The sequence below is a fragment of the Homo sapiens genome, chromosome 2 (assembly GCF_000001405.40).
Source record: "Homo sapiens chromosome 2, GRCh38.p14 Primary Assembly".
NCBI lineage: Eukaryota > Metazoa > Chordata > Mammalia > Primates > Hominidae > Homo > Homo sapiens.
In genome coordinates, this window is record NC_000002.12 from 110402229 (window position 1) to 110424086 (window position 21858).

The 21858-nt window shown below is 43.8% G+C and overlaps 1 protein-coding gene and 1 pseudogene across 5 annotated transcripts in view; both read right to left on the reverse strand.

Moving 5' to 3' along the window:
• LIMS4 (LIM zinc finger domain containing 4) overlaps window positions 1–21858 on the reverse strand; it is a 113949-nt gene that overhangs the window by 43102 nt on the left and 48989 nt on the right. The gene's annotated exons all lie outside the window — the stretch shown is intronic.
• On the reverse strand, window positions 689–21588 carry LOC100288570 (glycosylphosphatidylinositol anchor attachment protein 1 homolog (yeast) pseudogene; annotated as a pseudogene). Its single transcript, NR_037627.1, has 4 exons — window positions 21433–21588; window positions 5710–5791; window positions 4460–4574; window positions 689–1193 (listed from the first exon to the last, which is right to left on the reverse strand). The product of NR_037627.1 is annotated as a glycosylphosphatidylinositol anchor attachment protein 1 homolog (yeast) pseudogene (transcript).

A 21858-nucleotide genomic window follows, 5' to 3' on the forward strand; every position in this document is an offset into this window, starting at 1 on the left:
TGTTTCCAATTTTTCAATATTATAAACCGTCAGCCACCACCAATTTTGTGGCTAAATCTCTGAATGCATCCTTCTTTCCTACAGATAAATTCCCAGGAATGGAAGTCCAGGGTTAAAATATATTCACCTTCAAGGCTTTTGAAAGGAGCTGCCAAAGAGCCTTCCAGAAAGACAGTTTTATTCCTCTCTCCTGTAGGGTGTAAGAACATTTGTTTTATGGCAAAGACATGGAAGCAACTTAGGTGCTCATCAATGGTGGGTTAGGCAAAGAAAATGTGGTACATATACACCATGGAATACTATGCAGTCATTTAAAAAGAATGAAATTATGTCCTTTGCAGTAGTATGGATGCAGCCAGAGGCCATCATCCTAAGTGAATTAACAGAGAACAGAAAACCAAATACTGCATGTTGTCACTTATAAGTAGGAGCTAAACACTGGGTACTCATGGACACAAAGATGGCAACAGTAGACACTGGGGATTCCTGAGGGGAAGGGACAGAGGAGGGGAAGGGTTGAAAAACTACCTGCTGGATTCTAGGCTCACTACCTGAGTGATGGGATCAGTTGTACCCCAAACCTCACCATCACGAAATATACCCATGTAACAAACCTGCACATGTACCACCTGAATCTAAACTAAAAATTGAAATTACAAAAAGTTTGTTTTCAATCTTGCTAAGATTGTTTTATAGGCAAACACATGGTATTTTATTGTCGTTTTATTCTATAATTTTTAATTAGTGACGTTAAACATCTTTCCTATCGGCCATTTTACATATTTTTTCCTTATGAGTTGCCTTCACTTATCTTCAGCAAAATTATCTATTGAGATATCTTTTTTTTCCTGTAATTTGGAAGTGCTCTTGATATGCTGAAATGTCTGCACTGCCACATTTTGCCCTATTTGTTCTTCAGTTTGCGGTTTGCTTGCAGTTGTGCTTATGGCGTTCACTGTATGGAAGTGTTGTTGTTTCATCAAAAGCAAATCTATTGAGTCTTTTTTCTTCATGGCTCCTGCCTTTGGTCATAAACTCTTACAGGTACTACAATGAACACTCGCCACTGTGGTTACCATGGTGCAGATGTCTTTTGTATCCTTCCAGAAAACCATTTGAGGAGTGACTTTTGCAAAATGTACCAGTCTGCCAAAGTATGCAGTCAGGCAGAGTACTTCTGCTATTGAGGTGGCCTGCAAGGAGAAAACAGAGGCTGAGCACGAGGGCTTGCCATGGGGAGGCTCAGCTTTAGTTATCCAGTACCACCCCCTGTCCCCTGCCACTACCCTACCTTTCCTGCCTGGCACCCTCTGAGAATTTGTCATGTCCCTTAATTTTACTGAAAATTGCAGCAACATTTTCTGCCGGTTAGAATGGCTTCTTCCTCTGAAAGGGAAATCTGCCACTGAGTCACAATCTCCATGACCCACACTGGCAGGGATTCCTGGGAGGGGCTGCACCAGCAGGCTGAGGACCAAGAACACATTTCCCCAGAAAAGGGGGAGGTCAGAGGCAGAGATCGTCTATGCTCTCAAATTCCCCATGTTCAAATTCCAGACACCTAGAAGTCCCATTTCTCTAACGGTAAGGTAATTCCCCAAAGATGTGTTTGGGAATAATGGGTCCTTCCATAAACATCACTGCCACTGCAGCCCTGCTGCCTATATGAGGCTGGTTAGAGACGAGGATGGAGCCCACTGAGATCAAGACCGAAGTCCTGATGGGCCTCCCTCTGTAGATTACGGGTGCCAACTCCAGACTCCTGTACCTGCTAGACTTGAAGCCCATGACTGCAGCCCAAGGTTTGCCTGAGGCTGTTGGGATGCAGTAACAACTTCCTAACAAGGGCACGTTCCTCCATCAATAGGGAGAGACAGGTGGAAGATAGGAAGAGATGGAGAAAGGGACAACTTGACTTAGGCTAAAAAGAGGGAAAAGTCTTGAGTGAGAGCTAGAGACAGGAGGAAGGGGCTGGCTGTGGGCCTGAAAGCAGCAGGGGACACTATCATTGCCCCCTAGTTCCAGCCCTCATGGGTCTGTGCACAGACTGGGCTGCAGCCCCTTGCAAATGTTCTAGCTCTCAGTCTGTTGACTCTTGAAGAGCTATAGAGACCCAATGTCAAGTCCAGCTTTGCAAAAGGGCCTTAGGCAATTTCAGGACATCCTTGCTTAAAACAAGACTTGCGTGGTAATGCTGGATGGGGGCCAAAGCCCTCAGAACACACTGGACTTTGGAGATTTACAGTACAAGGGCTGGCTGAAGGAACACTCTGAAACTCAGGCAGCCAACCCAAAGTTATACATGACCAATAACAGACAGGGGATGAGGACTCAGGAAAAGAGGCAAATGGCTAAGAAGACCACTCTGTGGGATTCCTACCTTGGCCAGAGTGGACCAGTGCTAAGGAGGGATAGACAACACTCTGTCCAGGTTTGTGAATGCACAGCTCTGTTTCTTCAGATTTTGTGTTTGTGTTGACTGTTATTGGGATAAAAGTCTTCTATCCAGAGAATTCATTAATTGCCGGATCTTTATTGTAAGACAGTTGGTGGATGTCACTTGGGCAGCCCCAGTGAGCCATACTTACAGTTTTCACCCCCTTTGCAGTGGCCTCCCAAGTTGACTCAGGTTTTGGCATGTGATTGACAACAGGACATCAGCAAGTATGATGCAAGCAGAGGTTTGATGGTGCAGCACACTGGGATGCTCCTTCCTGGACCCAGCCACCCACTGGGAAAAGCCTAAGCCACGTGGAGCAGCTACATAGAAGAGGGCCGGGGCCACAGCTACAGCCAGCAGCTCCTGCCAGCCACGTGAGAGAGCTACCTTGATGTTCCAGCCTCCAGAGATCTAAGAGCTTCCAGACATCTACCACCCCAGCCACACCACCTGAGCCAATGTCCCACAGAGTCATGGGAGATAATAAAAGGCTGTTGTTCTCTAAAGCTAGGGGTTAGTGAACTCTTTCTGTTAAAGTAAACATGTGAAGCTTTGCAAGTCTTACAGTCTCTGTCACAACCACTAAACTGTTGATGTAGCTCCAAAGCAGCCAAAGACAACACATAAATTAATAAGTGTGGCTATGTTCCCATAAAACATTATTTGCAGACAGCAAAATTTGTATTTCATATCACTTCCATGTGTCACAAAATATTAATCTTCAGTGTCCTTTTTCCTAGTCATTTTAAAATGTAAAAACTATTTGTCTTAGTCTGATCAGGCTGCTATAAAAGAATACCATAGACTGGGTGGCTCATAAACAACAGAAATTTATTTCTCACAGCTCTGGAGGCTGGGAAGTCCAAGATCAAAGCACTGTCAAATTTGGTGTCTGATGAGGGCCCACTTTCTGGTTCACAGACAGCCATTTTTTTTGTGGCGTTCTCACTTGACAGAAGGGGCAAGGGAGCTCCTTGAAGCATCTTTTATGAGGGGACTAATCCCATTCATGAGATGGGCTCTGCCCTCATGATCTGATCACCTCCAAATACCTCCACACTGGGACTAGGTTTTGAAATACGAATTTTGGGAACACACAAACATTCCATTTGTAGCACCATTCTTAGCTCATAGGCTGTACAAAAATAAGCAGCAGCTGAATTTGTCCCACAGGCCATGGTTTCCCAACCCTTGTTTTAAGTGTTTGAGTTTTAGGATGGTTTGTAAATATGTTTGTGCAATTGATAACTGAAATAAGGAAGAATAAAAAAGGGTCTGTGTGGTTGTTAAAAAGCAAAAGCTTTGAAATCAGGCTTAGGCTTGAAGCCTAGTTCTGCCTTTGTTGCCTAGTAACCTTGGACAAGTTATACAATCTTTCTAGGCTCAGCTTCCTTATCTGTTAAAATGGGTATAATAACAGCAGGCACATCCCATTGAGTCCCTGTAAGGCTTAAGGAGAATACAGAGAAAGCATGAGATCACCCAGCAGATAGCAAGCAGGGAGCAAATGACAGCTATTAAGACAGAGGTAAGAGTAATGACGAATCAGAAATCAACATGGGCAGGGCACTGGTCTACTATTTAGACCTCTCTGGATTGGCTGGTGAATTTGATACATTACTCAAAATCAAATGTGATCAGCCCCTAAGCACCAATAAATACTCTAATAATTTATGACTATGAAAAAAAGCTGAAAATGTGGCATGTACAAGTTGCATATTACACTATATGAGAACATCATCTACTTGGCAGTAAGTAAATTGGCTTTGAAAACATCATTGAACCATCTCTGATTTTGTGTGTGTGTGCACAGAAGACCAAAATCTCCCACTGCACTTAAAATGCGTTATGAAGGAAGCATGTGTTTGGTGAGTAGACAGAACTTCTCTAATCCCCCAGCAAAAAAAATAAATAACATCTAATTCATATTTGTTGAAATTTGAGGGGAAAAAAAGAAGAGGCACAAGGCCCAATCATCTATGACCAAATCTGGCTAGCCATCTGCTATGGCTTGCTTACCAAGAAAGGCAGGGGAAGCAACTCAGGCTCTTCAAACAGGGCAAGAGCGAGGTCTACACAAATAAAGAAGTATGCGGCAACCTGCGTTGTCTAGTGGTTATAAAAATAGTAACGTCTGGAGGAGAAAAAGACAAAAGTGATTATAAACAACGAACAGGAGCTACACAGCACCCAAACATCTCTTTAAAGAACTAATGCTGGGTAAAATAAGAAAGTTAAGGCTTAGTCATGTTTCCTTTAAATTCTAGGGAGCAGGAGGCAGTATTTAATGATCATATACTATAAACACTAACACAAAAAAATCAAGCATATGATCATAACTCAAAGCACATTTTCTTAACAGTCTCAAGCTAAGATTATACCTTCCCATGGGGTTGTTGTGATAGTAATAAGAGAATACTTGCAGAGGACTTGAACAGTGACGGACACAGATTAAACCCTCAGTTAAAGTGGCCCATTATGATGTGGCATGGTGGCCTAACCCAATTTTAAAATGTACATCATCCCATCTTAACATGATAGACTCAGAAGAGATCTGGCAAAAGGTCATGCCAGTCTCTCCCCAGGTGGGGACAGTACCCCAAACATGCTCGGCAACATCCAGGGATGAGGTATTGGCTGCCTTGGGAGGCCCTGAGGCTGAGCCCTAGTGATAAACAGGCTGAGCACCTGTAGGGGGTGACAGAGAAAAAGCTGAATTCCCATGAGAAGAGCAAACATATGGATTGCATCACAAAACAATGGACAGGACAAAAAAGCCTTTTCACTTGAGGTAACTCTAAGAGGATGACATAAAAGGAAAAGACAATGGCAAGTTCTTCCCTTGAATGCCCTAGCTTCTATGCTGGGTATTGCTCATTTTACTCATTTGTCTGATCTTAATCTATTTATTGAATGCTTCCCTGCGTGTGAGGCCCATGCTCTTATAACTCAAAAAAAAAAAAAATTCAGCCAGGCATGGTGGCTCACATATCTAATCCCAGGCCTTGGTGGGAGGATCACTTGAGCCCAGGAGTTCAAGGCTGCAGTGAGCCATGATCACACCACTGAACTCCAGCCCAGGCAACAAAGCAAGACCCTGTCTCAAAAAAAAAAAAAAAAGTATTGGATTACGTCCAAATCTATGTGCTGTACCCTATATACTTCTCAAAATATCTGTGTAAACAATGCCTTCAGTTTGGGTTCAAGTTCAAGAGTATCAAGTGCTGAAGGACAGGTGGTTCCACATGATGGTTTAACATGTTAGTTACCTGATGGCCTGAGGTGAGTTTCAAATGGAACATTTCTGTTGTACTGGGCATCCAAAACATAGGCAGCTGCCAGGAGAAGGTCCTGTTCCCCATTGAGACAGAGTAAGGGAGACCAAGTCAGAGGAGGAGAGGATACTTTTCTTTTTCCTTTGTTAAGTATGCACTGAGTATAAAAGGAAGCTCCCCTTCGCCTCTCCACAGACCCACTCTCCCAGAGGTAGCCAACATCTAAACAGTGTTGTCTCCACACCTCCAATGTCTCTTTGAGCACCGAGAATCCTGCAGTGGGACCAGGTCCAGACACACTCCACTTTCTTGAATTCAAATATAGGCTCTCAGAGGAAATGTAAATAAGCATTGACTAGAGCATGTATTTGTACCTAAATGGTATATTCATACATACATATATTAATATATGGTTAGGTACACATGTATATACAAATATATATACGGTCATGTGCCCCATAACATTCTGGTCAACAATGAACCACATATATAACAGGGTTCCCATAAGATTATAATGAGCTGAAAAATTCCTACCACCTAGTGAGGTCATAGCACAACAAAATACAAAATTGTGGTGATGCTGGTGTCAACAAACCTCCACGGCCAGTCGTATAAAATTCTAGCACATACAATTATGTATGGTACATAATATTTGATAATGATAATAAATGATTATGTTACTGGTTTATGTATTTACTACACTATACTTTTTATGGTTATTTTAGATTGCACTCCTACTTATTAAAAAAAAAAGTTAACTGTAAAACAGCCTCAGGCAAGTCCTTCAGGAGGATTCCAGAAGAAGGCATTGTTATTCCAGGAGGTGACAGCTCCATAAGTGTTATGGCCCCTGAAGACCTTCCAGTGGGATGAGATGCAGAAGTGGAAGACAGTGATATTGAGGGTCCTGACCCTGTGTAGGCCTAGGCCAATGCATACGTTTGTGTCTTAGTTTTTAATAAAGAGTTTATGAAGTTAACATTTTTTAAGTTTAAAAATAGAAAAAAGCTTATAGGATAAGGATATAAAGAAAGAAAATATTTAGTATAGCTATGCAATGTGTTTTAAGCTGCTATTGCAAAAGAATCAAAACGTTTATAGAGTAGAAAATTTATAGTAAGCTAAGGTTAATTTGTTATTGAAGAAAGAAAAATATTTTTTATAAATGTAGTCAACTGTACAGTGTTTCTAAAGTCTACAGTAGTGTGCAGTGATTCCTAGACCTTCACATTTACTCACCACTCATTCACTGACTTACCCAGGACAACTGCCAGTCCCGCAAGCTCCATTCATGGGAAGTGCCCTATTCATCTTTTACCTTTTATACCATATTTTTACTGTACCTTTTCTATGTTGAGATACACGAATACACCATTGTGTTACAGTTACCTGCCATATTCAGTACAGTAATATGCTCTACAGGTTTGTAGCCTAGAAAAATAGTCTACAGCCTAGGTGTCTAGTAAGTTATGCCATTTAAGTTTGTGTAAGTACATTGTATGATATTTGCACAATGATGAAATCCCCTAGTGATCCATTTCTCAGAATATATCCCTGTTGTTAAGTGACGCATTACTGTATATATACATATACATACAAACAAATCTGTAACACAAAATTATATACTATGTGTATTTACACTACCTAATATATTTATATACATATAAACACAAAACACAAAATTCCTTTTATATTTGCAAGTTTTGCCAAAGATGTGGAGCAACTGGAACTCTCATACGTTGCTGGTTGGAATAGAAAATGGCACATTTACTTTGGAAGACAGTTTGGTAGTTTCTTAAAACGTTAAAAAGTATGACCCAGCCATGCTACTTTGAAGTGTTTTCCAAAAGGAAAGACAGCATATGTCCACACAAAGACTAGTACATCCACCCCAAGTATGTGGCTCATGTTAGACACCTCATCCCAAAGCTGCACACATACACATACGTTCATCCCAGCTTAACAGCCCAAAACTAGAAACCAAAATGTCCACAGACAGGTGAGTGGATAAACAAAGTGTACTGTATCTCTACAATGGAATACTACTCAGCAATAAAAAGGAATGAGTAACTAATAGATGTAACAAAATGGATGAATCTCAAAATAACTGTGCCGAGTGAAAGAAGCCAACCACCCCCCGAAAAGAGTACTCACTGTATGATTCCATCTGCATAAAATTCTGGAAAATGAAAACTAACCTACAGTGACAGAACCCGCATCAGTGGTCGTGTGTTGGCAGGGGGAGGAAGATGGGAACAGGCTGGGCATGGTGGCTCATGCCTATAATCCCAGCACTTTGGGAGGCTGAGGTGGGCAGATCACTTGAGGTCGGGAGTTTGAAACTAGCCTGGCCAACAAGACGAAACCCCGTCTCTATTAAAAATACAAAAACTAGCCGGGCATGGTGCCATGCACCTGTAATCCCAGCTACTTGAGAGGCTGAGGCAGGAGAATAGCTTGAACTCGGGAGGCGGAGGTTGCAGCGAGCCGAGATTGTGCCATTGCACTCTAGCCTGGGCGACAGAGAGAGATTCCGTCTCAAAAAAAAAAAAAAAAAAAAAAAAGAGTGGAACGAAGAGAACTGAGAGAGAGAGAGATTACAAATAGGCATAAGAAAACATATAGGGGTGACTGATATGTTCATTATTCTTATCATGGCATTACTATCCCAAGGGCATTCATACACCAAAACTCATCAAGCTGCATACTTCAAATAAATGTAGTTTAGTGTATGTCTATTATAATCTAAAAAAGCTGTTAAAATGCCCAAAATGAAAGACAAATACTTGGATTAAAAAAGTTGATGTAGAACAATAATCTCATAGATGAATTAACTGCCGTAAGAGCCGATCGCTTTTTGAGTAACAGGTATGCTCAGGGTTGGTATGGCAATTCTTACAGGCAGTTTATTAAAATCTAAGAAGCACCATGTAAATGTGTTTAACACTTATCACACATTTTTCTTTTTTTTTTCCTTTTCGAGATAGAGTTTCACTTTGTCACACAGGCTGGAGTGCAGTGGCACAATCTCGGCTCACTGCAAACTCTGCCTCCCGGTTTCAAGCGATTCTCCTGCCTCAGCCTCCTGAGTAGCTGGGATTACAGGCACGCACCACCATGCCAGTCTAGTTTCTCTAATTTTAGTAGAGACAGTGTTTCACCATGTTGGCCAGGCTGGTCTCAAACTCCTAACCTCAAGTGATCCGCCTACCTCGGCCTCCCAAAGTGCTGAGATTACAGGCGTGACCCACAATGCCCAGCCAAACATTTTTCTTTTACATATTTAAAAAACATTCTAGTAGGAAAACCATTAATATCAATTATTTTTTTCATTGAAAATCTTTAACACTGAGGAAGAATACAGTTCCCAGGACATGCTTAGAAATATATTTTAGGTAGAAAATGCCTCGCATCAGCAAGAGTTGATTTTTTTTTTTTTAATGAACACACACCAACTTTAAGAAAATTCCATTAAGCCTCAAAAAGATCATACTTGAAGAGTTCTGACATTGAGGCTTTTTAAAAAAATTGCTGGCAAAGATCTTTTAAGGCCACTGTTGTCCCCAGTGATGCTACAAACATCCTTACAGTCCCAGTGAGGCCACTTGTCCACAAACGTAAGCAGTTCAACACTCACGGATTTGAGATGCATCCTTCATATGCCCTCCAGGTAGAGAAAGGAAAAAAACACTCACCAGCAATGCCTCAGCCAGTCAGGCCCTCGGGGTCATCTCCATGAGACAGATCCCAGACCCCAGACATTGAATGACCAGCACCTCATCACCCCCACCAACTGCCATCTGAACTCATCCTTGCTGTTTTAAAATCTGCTGATTCTATCATAATAGCCATTTCACCCTTACACTAACGTTTCAAAGCTTTCCCATTCTTAACTGGTATTACATTTCTGACATCTATCTCCTTTTAAAATCGCATCTCCTTTATGCTTTGGTTCTAATTGCCTTCCTTCTCCTCCTCCCTCCCATTTGTGCGCAACTTCTAAGTGTCCTGCGTTCCGTGTGGGAAGCGGTACTCTTAGAAGACAGACTTTACTGTAATAAGCATGTTTATTTGAACTAAGGCCATTTGTATTTTCCCATAAAACAAACTGTTTTTACCCAACCCAAGAATGTGGATTATGTTAGACACCCCATTCCACAACTTCACATACTTTTCAAGTTTACATGCGAACCACTGTCCATATCTACCATGAAAATAGCAAAGACCAAATAGCAGATGTTTCCCCAGATGCAGCTTAAATGTGGCTGCAAACCTCAAAACAGCATCCCAACTATGGGAGGCATTGGCAACTGTGGGAGTGGTGATTCTCAATCCCCACAGCATATGACAATCATCTTAACAACTTTTAAAGATCCTACTGAAGTCCAGGTCACATGCAGACCCCAACTGCATCAGAACCTCTGGGAGGTAGAACCCAGGATTAATCTTTAATTATTATTATTAAGTTCTAGGGTACATGTGCACAACGTGCAGGTTACACATGTATACATGTGCCATGTTGTTTTGCTGCACTCATTAACTCGTCATTTACATTAGGTATTTCTCCTAATGCTATCCCTCCCCCATCCCCCCAACCCATGACAGGCCCCAGTGTGTGACGTTCTCCGTCTTGTGTCCAAGTGTTCTCATTGTTCAACTCCCACCTATGAGTGAGAACATATGGTGTTTGGTGCTCTGTCCTTGCGATAGTCTGCTCAGAATGATGGTTTCCAGCTTCATCCATGTCCCTACAAAGGACATGAACTCATCCTTTTTTATGGCTGCATAGTATTCCATTGTGCATTTGTGCCACATTTTCTTAATCCAGTCTATCACTGATGGACATTTGGGTTGGTTCCAAGTCTTTGCTATTGTGAATAGTGCCACAATAAACATATGTGTGCATGTGTCCTTATAGTAGCATGATTTATAATCCTTTGGGTATATACCCAGTAATGGGATTGCTGGGTCAAATGGTATTTCTAGTTCTAGATCCTTGAGGAATCGCCACACTGTCTTCCACAATGGTAGAACTAATTTACACTCCCACCAACAGTGTAAAAGCATTCCTATTCTCCCCATCCTCTCCAGCACCTGTTGTTTCCTGACTTTTTAATGATTGCCATTCTAACTGGTGTGAGATGGAATCTCACTGTGGTTTGGATTTGCATTTTTCTGACGACCAGTGATGATGAGCATTTTTTCATGTGTCTGTTGGTTGCATAAATGTCTTCTTTTGAGAAGTGTCTGTTCATATCCTTTGCCCACCTTTTGATGGGGTTGTTTGATTTTTTCTTGTAAATTTGTTTAAGTTATTTGTAGATTCTGGACATTAGCTCTTTGTCAGATGGCTAGATTGCAAAAATTTTCTCCCATTCTGTAGGTTGCCTTTTCACTCTGATGGCATTTTCTTTTGTTGTGCAGAAACTCTTTAGTTTAATTAGATCCCATTTGTCTCTTTCGGCTTTTGTTGCCATTGCTTTTGGTGTTTTAGTCATGAAGTCCTTGCCCATGTCTATGTCCTGAATGGTATTGCCTAGGTTTTCTTCTAGGGTTTTTATGGTTTTAGGTCTAACATTTAAGCCTTTAATCCACCTTGAATTAATTTTTGTATAAGGCATAAGGAAGGGATCCAGTTTCAGCTTTCTACATACGGCTAGCCAGTTTTCCCAGCACCATTTATTAAATAGGGAATCCTTTCCCCATTGCTTGTTTTTCTCAGGTTTGTCAAAGATCAGATGGTTGTAGATGTGTGGTGTTATTTCTGAGGCCTCTGTTCTGTTCCATTGGTCTATATCTCTGTTTTGGTACCAGTACCATGCTGTTTTGGTTACTGTAGCCTTGTAGTATAGTTTGAAGTCAGGTAGCGTGATGCCTCCAGCTTTGTTCTTTTTGCTTGGGATTGTCTTGGCAATGAGGGCTCTTTTTTGGTTCCATATGAACTTTAAAGTAGTTTTTTCTAATTCTGTGAAGAAAGTCATTGGTAGCTTGATGGGGATGGCATTGAATCTATAAATTACCTTGGGCAGTATGGCCATTTTCACAATATTGATTCTTCCTGTCCATGAGCATGGAATGTTCTTCCATTTGTTTGTGTCCTCTTTTATTTCATTGAGCAGTGGTTTGTTGTTCTCCTTGAAGAGGTCCTTCACGTCCCTTGTAAGTTGGATTCCTAGGTATTTTTTTCTCTTTGTAGCAATTGTGAATGGGAGTTCACTCATGATTTGGCTCTCTGTCTGTTATTGGTGTATAGAAATGCTTGTGATTTTTGCACATTGATTTTGTCTCCTGAGACTTTGCTGAAGTTGCTTATCAGCTTAAAGAGATTTTGGGCTGAGATGATGGGGTTTTCTAAATATACAATCATGTCATCTGCAAACAGGGACAATTTGACTTCCTCTTTTCCTAATTGAATACCCCTTATTTCTTTCTCTTGCCTGATTGCCCTGGTCAGAACTTCCAACACTATGTTGAATAGGAGTGGCGAGAGAGGACATCCCTGTCTTGTGCCAGTTTTCAAAGGGAATGCTTCCAGTTTTTGCCCATTCAGTATGATATTGGCTGTGGGTTTGTCATAAATAGCTCTTAGTATTTTGAGATACATTTCATCAATACCTAGTTTATTGAGAGATTTTAGCATGAAGGGATGTTGAATTTTGTCAAAGGCCTTTTCTGCATCTATTGAGATAATTGTGTGTTTTTTGTCTTTGGTTCTGTTTATGTGATAGATTACATTTATTAATTTGTGTATGTTGAACCAGCCTTGCATCCCAGGGGTGAAGCCAACTTGATCTTGGTGGATAAGCTTTTTGATGTGCTGCTGGATTCAGTTTGCCAGTATTTTATTGAGGATTTTCGCACCGATGTTCATCAGGGATATTGGTCTAAAATTCTCTTTTTTTGTTGTGTCTCTGCCAGGCTTTGGTATCAGGATGATGCTGGCCTCATAAAATGAGTTATGGAGGATTGCCTCTTTTTCTATTGATTGGAATAGTTTCAGAAGGAATGGTACCAGCTCCTCTTTGTACCTCTGGTGGAATTCAGCTGTGAATCGGTCTGGTCCTGGACTTTTTTCGGTTGGTAGGCTATTAATTACTGCCTCAATTTCTGAGCCTGTTATTGGTCTATTCAGGGATTCGACTTCTTCCTGGTTTAGTCTTAGGAGGGTGTATGCATCCAGGAATTTATCCATTTCTTCTAGATTTTCTAGTTTACTTGTGTAGAAGTATTGATAGCATTCTCTGATGGCAGTTTGTATTTCTGTGGGATCGGTGGTGATATCCTCTTTATCATTTTTTATTGCATCTATTTGATTCTTCTCTCCTTTCTTCTTTATTAGTCTTGCTAGCGGTCTATCAATTTTGTTAATCTTTTCAAAAAACCAGCTCCTGGATTCAATGATTTTTTCAAGGTTTTTTTTCTGTCTCTATCTTCTTCAGTTCGGCTCTGATCTTAGTTATTTCTTGTCTTCTGCTAGCTTTTGAATGTGTTTGTTCTTGCTTCTCTAGTTCTTTTAATTGTGATGTTAGGGTGTCGATTTTAGAACTTCCCTGCTTTCTCTTGCGGGCATTTAGTGCTATAAATTTCCCTCACATGCTGCTTTAAAAGTGTCCCAGAGATTCTGGTACATTGTGTCTTTGTTCTCGTTGGTTTCAAAGAACATCTTTGTTTCAGCCTTAATTTCGTTATTTACCCAGTAGTCATTCAGGAGCAGGTTGTTCGGTTTCCATGTAGTTGTGCGGTTTTCAGTGAGTTTCTTAGTCATGAGTTCTAATTTGATTGCGCTGTGGTCTGTGAGACAGTTTGTTGTAATTTCTGTTCTTTTACATTTGCTGAGGAGTGCTTTACTTCCAACTAAGTGGTCAATTTTGGAGTAAGTGCGATGTGGTGCTGAGAAGAATGTAGATTCTGTTGATTTGGGGTGGAGAGTTCTGTAGATGTCTATTAGGTCTGCTTGGTGCAGAGCTGAGTTCAAGTCCTGGATATCCTTGTTAACCTTCTGTCTCGTTGATCTGTCTAAAATTGACAGGGGGTTGTTAAAGTCTCCCATTATTATTGTGTGGGAGTCTAAGTCTCTTTCTAGGTCTCTAAGGACTTGCTTTATGAATCTGGATGCTCCTGTATTGGGTGCATATATATTTAGGATAGTTAGCTCTTCTTGTTGAATTGATCCCTTTACCATTATGTAATGGCCTTCTTTCTCTTTTGATCTTTGTTGGTTTAAAGTCTGTTTTATCAGAGACTAGGATTGCAACCCCTGCTTTTTTTTTGCTTTCCATTTGCTTGGCAGATCTTCCTCCATCCCTTTATTTTGAGCCTATGTGTGTCTCTGCATGTGAGATGGGTATCCTGAATACAGCACACTGATGGGTCTTGATTCTTTATCCAATTTGCCAGTCTGTGTCTTTTAATTGGGGCATTTAGCCCATTTACCTTTAAGGTTAATATTGTTATGTGTGAATTTGATCCTGTAATTATGATGTTAGCTGGTTATTTTGCCTGTTAGTTGATGCAGTTTCTTCCTAGCATCGACGGTCTTTACAATTTGGCATGTTTTTGCAGTGGCTGGTACCGGTTGTTCCTTTCCATGTTTAGTGCTTCCTTCAGGAGCTCTTGTAAGGCAGGCCTGGTGGTGACAAAATCTCTCAGCATTTGTTTGTCTGTTAAGGATTTTATTTATCCTTCATTTATGAAGCTTAGTTTGGCTGGATATGAAATTCTGGGTTGAAAATTCTTTTCTTTAAGAATGTTGAATATTGGCCCCCACTCTCTTCTGGCTTGTAGTTTCTGCCGAGAGATCCGCTGTTAGTCTGATGGGCTTCCCTTTGTGGGTAACCCGGCCTTTCTCTCTGGCTGCCCTTAACATTTTTTCCTTCATTTCAACTTTGGTGAATCTGACAATTATGTATCTTGCGGTTGCTCTTCTCGAGGAGTATCTTTGTGGTGTTCTCTGTATTTCCTGAATTTGAATGTTGGCCTGCCTTGCTAGGTTGGGGAAGTTCTTCTGGATAACATCCTGACAAGTGTTTTCCAGCTTGGTTCCATTCTCCCCATAACTTTGAGGTACACCAATCAAACATAGATTTGGTCTTTTCACATAGTCCCATATTTCTTGGAGGCTTTGTTCATTTCTTTTTACTCTTGTTTCTCTAAACTTCTCTTCTCACTTCATTTCATTAATTTGATTTTCAATCACTGATACCCTTTCTTCCACTTGATCGAATTGGCTACTGAAGCTTCTTCATGCGTCACATAGTTATTGTGCCACGGTTTTCAGCTCCATCAGGTCATTTAAGGTCTTCTCTACGCCGTTTATTCTAGTTAGCCATTCGTCTAATCTTTTTTCAAGGTTTTTAGCTTCCTTGCGATGGGTTCAAACATCCTCCTTTAGCTCAGAGAAGTTTGTTATTACCGACCTTCTGAAGCCTATTTCTGTCAACTCGTCAAAGTCATTCTCTGTCCAGCTTTGTTCCGTTGCTGGTGAGGAGCTGCAATCCTTTGGAGGAGAAGAGGTGCTCTGGATTTTACAATTTTCAGATTTTCTGCTCTGGTTTCTCCCCATCTTTGTGGTTTTATCTACCCTTGGTCTTTGATGATGGTGACCTACAGATGGGTTTTTGGTGTGGATGACCTTTTTGTTGATGTTGATGCTATTTCTTTCTGTTTGTTAGTTTTCCTTCTAACAGTCAGGTCCCTCAGCTGCAGGTCTGTTGGAGTTTGCTGGAGGTCCACTCCAGACCCTGTTTGCCTGGGTATCACCAGCGGAGGCTGCAGAACAGCAAATATTGCAAAACAGCAGATGTTGCTGCCTGATCCTTCCTCTGGAAGCTTTCTCTCAGAGGGGCACCTGGCTGTATGAGGTGTCAGTCGGCCCCTACTGGGAGGTGTCTCCAAGTTAGGCAACACGGGGGTCAGGGACCCACTTGAGGAGGCAGTCTGTCCATTCTCAGAGCTCAAACATTGTGCTCGGAGAACCACTGCTCTCTTCAGACAGTGATGTTTTAAATCTGCAGAAGTTTCTGCTGCCTTTTGTTCAGCTATGCCCTTCCCCCAGAGGTGGAGTCTACAGAGGCAGGCAGGCCTTGTTGAGCTGTGGTGGGCTCCACCCAGTTCAAGCTTCCTGGATGCTTTGTTTACCTACTCAAGCTTCAGCAATGGTGAATGCCCGTCCCCCAGACAGGCTGCAGCCTCACAGTTCGATCTTGGACTGCTGCGCTAGCAGTGAGCAAGGCTCCGTGGGTGTGGGACCCACTGAGCCAGGGGCGGGATATAATCTCCTGGTATGCCATTTGCTAAGACCATTGGAAAAGCACAGTATTTGGGTGGGCATGTCCTGTTTTTCCAGGTACAGTTTTCACAGCTTCCCTCAGCTAGGAAAGGGAAATCCCCTGACCCCTTGCACTTCCCAGGTGAGGCGATGCCCTGCCCTGCTTCAGCTCACCCTCCATGGGCTGCACCCACTGTCCAACCAGTCCCAATGAGATGAACCATGTACCTCAGTTGGAAATGCAGAAATCACCCGTCTTCTGCATCGATCACACTGGGAGCTGCAGACTGGAGCTGTTCCTATTTGGCCATCTTGGAATGGACCCTCCCACGATTAATCTTTTAAAGTTCACAAATGATTTGAACATGCAGTCAAGACTGAAAACCACTGATGTAAATATAGCCATTTTCCTAGTATTTCTTCTATTTTCCTTTCCTTTCTTTTTTTTTTTTTTTTTTTTTCTGAGGCAGGGTCTTACTCTGTTGCCCAGGCTAGAGTGCAGTGGCATGATCATGGCTTACTGCAGCCTCCACCTCCAAGCTCAAGCGATTCTCCTGCCTCAGCCTCCTGAGTAGCTGGAGCTACAGGTGCACGCCACCATGCCCAGCTAATTTTTGTTGTAGAGACAGGTTTTGCCATGTTGTCCTGGCTGTTCAAAATCTCCTGGGCTCAAGCAATCCATCCAGCTTGGCCTCCCCAAGTGCTGGGATCACAGGTAACAACCACTGCACCCCTCCTGTTTTCTATTTTAATTGCACCATGACAATAATTGCCTTCTCTTGATTTTCTCTTTCTCTTCTTCTCAGAGCTGTGATATTTATTTTCCTCCTCCCAAGACTTAAAAATGTTGTTAAGGATTTTGTGTTTTCTCTTCCATCCCCACCCCTCAACTCAGTAAGCCTTCATTCTGGGGAAGATGAATCCCTTGGAATCCCTTAGAGGGTGAAAGGAATGCAGGAAGGAGGGAAAGATAAGATTCCAGAGGCTCTCAGTGGAGAGAGCAAGAAAGTTCCTTCTCTATGAACCCAGCAAACGCCTCCTTCAGTATTAACTGTGGTAGTAATAAACCATTGTAAGCCCCCAAATACCTTTAAGTCAGTCAAAAATAACCTAGGCAAAATGCAAAGTTGTTGATAGAAGTGTTTTGAGGTCAGGTGTGGTGGCTCACGCCTATAATCCTAGCATTTTGGGAGGCCAAAGTGGGCGGATCACGAGCTCAGGAGATCGAGACCATCCTGGCTAACCCAGTGAAACCCCATCTCTACTAAAAATACAAAAAATTAGCCGGGCGTGGTGGCGGGCGCCTGTAGTCCCAGCTACTCGGGAGGCTGAGGCAGGAGAATGGCGTGAACCCGGGAGGCGGAGCTTGCAGTGAGCCGAGATCGCGCCACTGCCCTCCAGCCTGGGCGACAGAGCGAGACTCCATCTCAAAACAACAACAACAACAAAAAAAAAAAAAAAAAAAAAGAAAAAGAAGAAGTGTTTTGAAAACAGCCAATATGTCTTGGTTATACAGGTAAGAACATTAACATAATTAACTATAACTTAAGGTAAAGAGAAGTTCCCATAAATTTTAAGTTAAATTCTTCCACTTCTCCATTTTTCTTTCCAATTCCAATGCTCCTTTCCTTACTAAAAACACTACACAGTAGTCCCCCCTTAATTGAGAAGAATAGGTTCCAAGACCCCCAGTTAGTTCCTGAAACTGAGCATAGTACCAAACCCTGTATATACTATGTCTTTTCAATCTGATAACCCAACAGCTACTAAGTGACTAGTGGGCAGGTAGTGTCTACTGCATAGATACGTGGGACAAAGAGATGATTCACGTCCCAGGTGGACAGAGCAGGACATCCGGAGATTTCACCATGCTACTCAGAACAGTGCACAATTGAAAACTTATGAATTGTTTATTTCTGTAAATTTTTATTGGATATTTTTGGACTGCAGTTGACCTAGAGTAACTGGAACCGCAGAAAACAAAACCAAAAAAACCATGGATAAGAGAGGCTACTGTACCTTCTGTCTCCCTCAGTACACCGTGTCCTCCCACAAGCTCTTCCTGCATACTGATAGAATAGATTACTGCTTTCCTCATGAGACCCCCCCATTCAAAAGCATCAGGTGATTTCTCTCTGCCTAAAGCGATTTCTCTTTGTCCAATCGAGTGCAAAACCCTTGGCTTAGCATTTGGGGGCTCCACAATCTCTCCTCTACTCCTGTCTCCAATTTAATCTCCCTCACTTCCCCTATAGGAACACTTTTCTCTGGCCAAAATTGGTGGACTTGTCCACTGTCCCTCTATGAACCCACCTCCGTGCCTGATCTCACGCTCACTTAAAACCAGGAGTATTTTTTTCCACTTTCCTTCACTGGACACCTGTCTCAAATTTCACTTTCTCCATGAAGATTGGCAATCCCAGCAGCTTCTATTTCCACACAAAAAGACTGCCTGGAAAAGCTGGGGTCTTGACACACATTGTGGACATTTTATACGAAGAAACAGCTGCGGGGGATAGGACAGGGCACAGCAGTTGTGGGAGAAGGGTGACTGAGTAGGTGGCAATGAGGTATTAGGGTAAAGACCTTATGTTCCTCTATAAAGAAAGTAGCAAACCAACAACTGACAGGCCAAGTGCAGCCTAAAGTTGTGTTTTGTTTGGCCCAGAGAGTGTTTTTAGATGCTGGTTACTCATTCCAATTTTTTAAAAGCTGGAGCTTACACAAAAATTTGAACTTCTGGCTTCGCTTTAAAAGATTATAACATTCAGCCATGCTGCGCTGTATTTCAATAAGTTTTTGCTACCCACCCTGATTCTTGGTCACCTAAATAAACACTTATTATTTTCCCCAATTCTGTGGGTCAGCTGGGCAGTCCTGGTCTGGGCCAACTTAGCTGATCTCTGTGGTCATCTGGGACTGGATGGTCTAGAACAGCCTTGCTCACATATCTTGGCCATGTGCGTCCTGCAGCAGGCTAGCCAGGGCTCTTCCACGGGTCGTGGTCAAAGTTTCCCAAGCGCATCAGGAGAGCAAGCACCAATGTCTGAGTGCCTTTCACACCTCTGCCTGTATCCCATCTACTAATGTCCCATCAGCCAAAGCAAGTCTCATGGCCAAACCCAGATTCAAGCGCTGGAGAAACAGATCCCACCTCTTGATATAAGGAGTTGCAAAGGCACATTGCAAAAAGGGTATGTATTCAGGGATGGGAAGACTTTCTGGCCATTTTTGCAATCTATGATAGCCGTGGTCAACTGGAGGTGGGTAGCTGTGGTCTTCTTTGGGCAGGGGACATGCCATCAGGTCATCACAAACCCCACTCCTCTCCCTCACTGAATCATTGCTACCTAGCCCACTGGCTTTATGTTGCTCCTTGGACCACCTGAGTGGAACACTTTCTCAAGCCCTCCTGGTTACTGCAAACAACAGCTCTGCAAATTGCTAAAAGGGAGCACCAGTGGATTAAGACCGCAAAGCAGGGTAATGCAGGATCTGCATGAACAGGTTTAAGAACAAGAACATTCAAAAAGAAGCACATAAAAGTATCAAGAGGTTAACATAGAACTGTCACAAAGGAATGGCATAAGACACAGGCTCTCAACCCTGGTGGCACTTTTGAATCACTCAGTAGCCTGAAACTTACTACTGCCCAGGACGCATCCATATCAATTACATCAGAATCTCAGGGGTAGAGGCTGAACTGGATACAGTCCTAAAAGCTCCTTAGCTAATGCTAACCAATGGCAAAATTGAGAATCACTAGCATTGGGTTCTTTCTATTTCAAAGTTCAAAGTGTTGGTAAATTCCCCCAAAGAAGTAGATTGCCATCTTAGTAGCCAAAAAAAAAAGAAACTCCAATCACAAAAGAGTCTTAAAAATAAGTATTTGAAAGGAGAGGGGGTTAATGCATTTCAGGTGACTAGGCAGGTTCTAGTTACATGAATCCAAACTAATTCTTAAATAAGGTTAACCCAGTTATATTGGCCATTGAGTGCCCGAGGTCAGAACCTGGGGAGGGAAGAAGATCTAGATGCCTTCTCTGATTTAATGACTCAATCAATGATGTTATCTCAGATGGCAGAAGCAAGGCCAAAGCTGGGGACAAAGGAACTTCCCCCTCCTTTCCTTTACCTGCTCTCTCGAGGGATAGGACATATGGTAGAATGCATCTGTTGGATGTGGTCAAGCCCCTTTGGTGTGGAGGTTTTTCCATCAAAACCTCTCTGACCTGCAGGCCAGAGAGGGAGACGTATGCACCAGAGCTTTTTTTTTTTTTTTTTTTTTTAGATGGGGTCTTGCTCTTTTGCCCAGGCTGGAGTGCAGTGGCACAGTGATAGCTCACTGCAACCTCAACCTCCTGGCCTCAAGCAATCTTCCCATCTCAGTCTGTGGAGCAGCTAGGATTACAGCCTTGAGCCACCTCACCCTGACTGGCAGAGCTTTTCAACTCCACACACAAGCCTGCCCTGTGGACCCTCTCCAGCAGGCTTCAAGAGCCCAGTGGGAAGCGGCAGGGGTGATAATGCAGCAGCCCAGAGCTGAAGGGGGCCAGTTCAAGACTAAGAGGGAGACTGAACAAAAACGCTCTCCACCTCCCACACACTTGCACAACGCAAAGGAGATGCAGCATGGACCCTGAGGGGTCTAAAGATTGGCTGTCATGACTGTGCCAGGCACTGTGCCAGGCACTGTGCCAGGGCCTGACCGACGTTGTCACCCATGGTCTTCATGACTTCTGACGGCCCATCATATTGTAATTCAGGCCTCAGATTTCCTGAATCAGAGCAGGGGCTCCTGCCATTGAAGTCCTGCCTCCCTCTCCACTGTCTTAGTTCTTGTCCAGTGCAAGAAAATAGATCAAGAAGGGTCGCTTGGAAGCTCAAACTCTTTCGAAGAAGCTCAGGCTATCGCAGCGAAACAGACCCTGAGCGGCTGCGCAGCCCTTCTGCTGTGTCCCGCAGGCATCGGAAGACCCGGGGCTGCATCAGCACTCCCGGGGCCCACATCCTGCAGCCTTCTTTCCGGGCGTTTTCCTGCTGCCTTGGAGTTCTGTGGGGACGCGCATTGGTCACCAAACAAGGGTGCGCGCCTCACTGAGTGAGAATGGCCCCTAATCTGGAGCCCCAGCACCGATCCCTGCTCAGCCCCGGAGAGTGGGAGGCTTGTCGGGTCGCTTGACTACAACGTGCGGGCTGCGCTCTAGCTGGCGGTGCGCCTCCCAGCTGAGCAGCCCAATGAGCAGGGAACCGAGAAAGACCGAAAGCAGAGGGGTTCCTAGTCCCGCTGACCCCCAAGGGCCCTCATTCTCTGCAGCCGGCCGTGGCTTCCAGCGGGTTCGCTTTCTCCCTGGGAGTCCCGGAGGCGCCCGGCACCAGGAGGGCAACGAAGGGGCAGGAGGCGCTGCCGTCCGGGCGCCCTCCGAGCACAGCCAGGAAGTCCTCCTTACCTCATGGGTCTGCGGCTCCTCGCCGGGCTGCGGGCGCAGGCAGCTCACCACCGCGGCTAGGCCGGCCCCGGACATCGCGGCGGCGGGCGCGGCGAGCGGGGATGCGCGGGCGTCGGGGCGGCAGCCGCAACGGACTCTGCCCTCCTCGTGCAGGCCGGAGGCCCCGCCTGGGCGCGCGGCGCTCGGTCCTTCACGTGACCGCTGCGGGTGGGCCTGCGGGCGGAGGACGGGCGACGGCGGGGCGGGCTCCCAGGCTCCGGCCCCTTCCCTGGCGGCGCGCTGGGCCCAGCGCAGGGAAGCGGATCCGGCAGGGACGGGGAGTGGGACGCGCGAGGGGCAGCAGGGGTAAGAGCTCGGGCGGGTGGCCGCGTGGGTTAAAGGTCAAAGGTCACCTCCGCAAATGGCACCAACTGTGTAGCCTGGCAG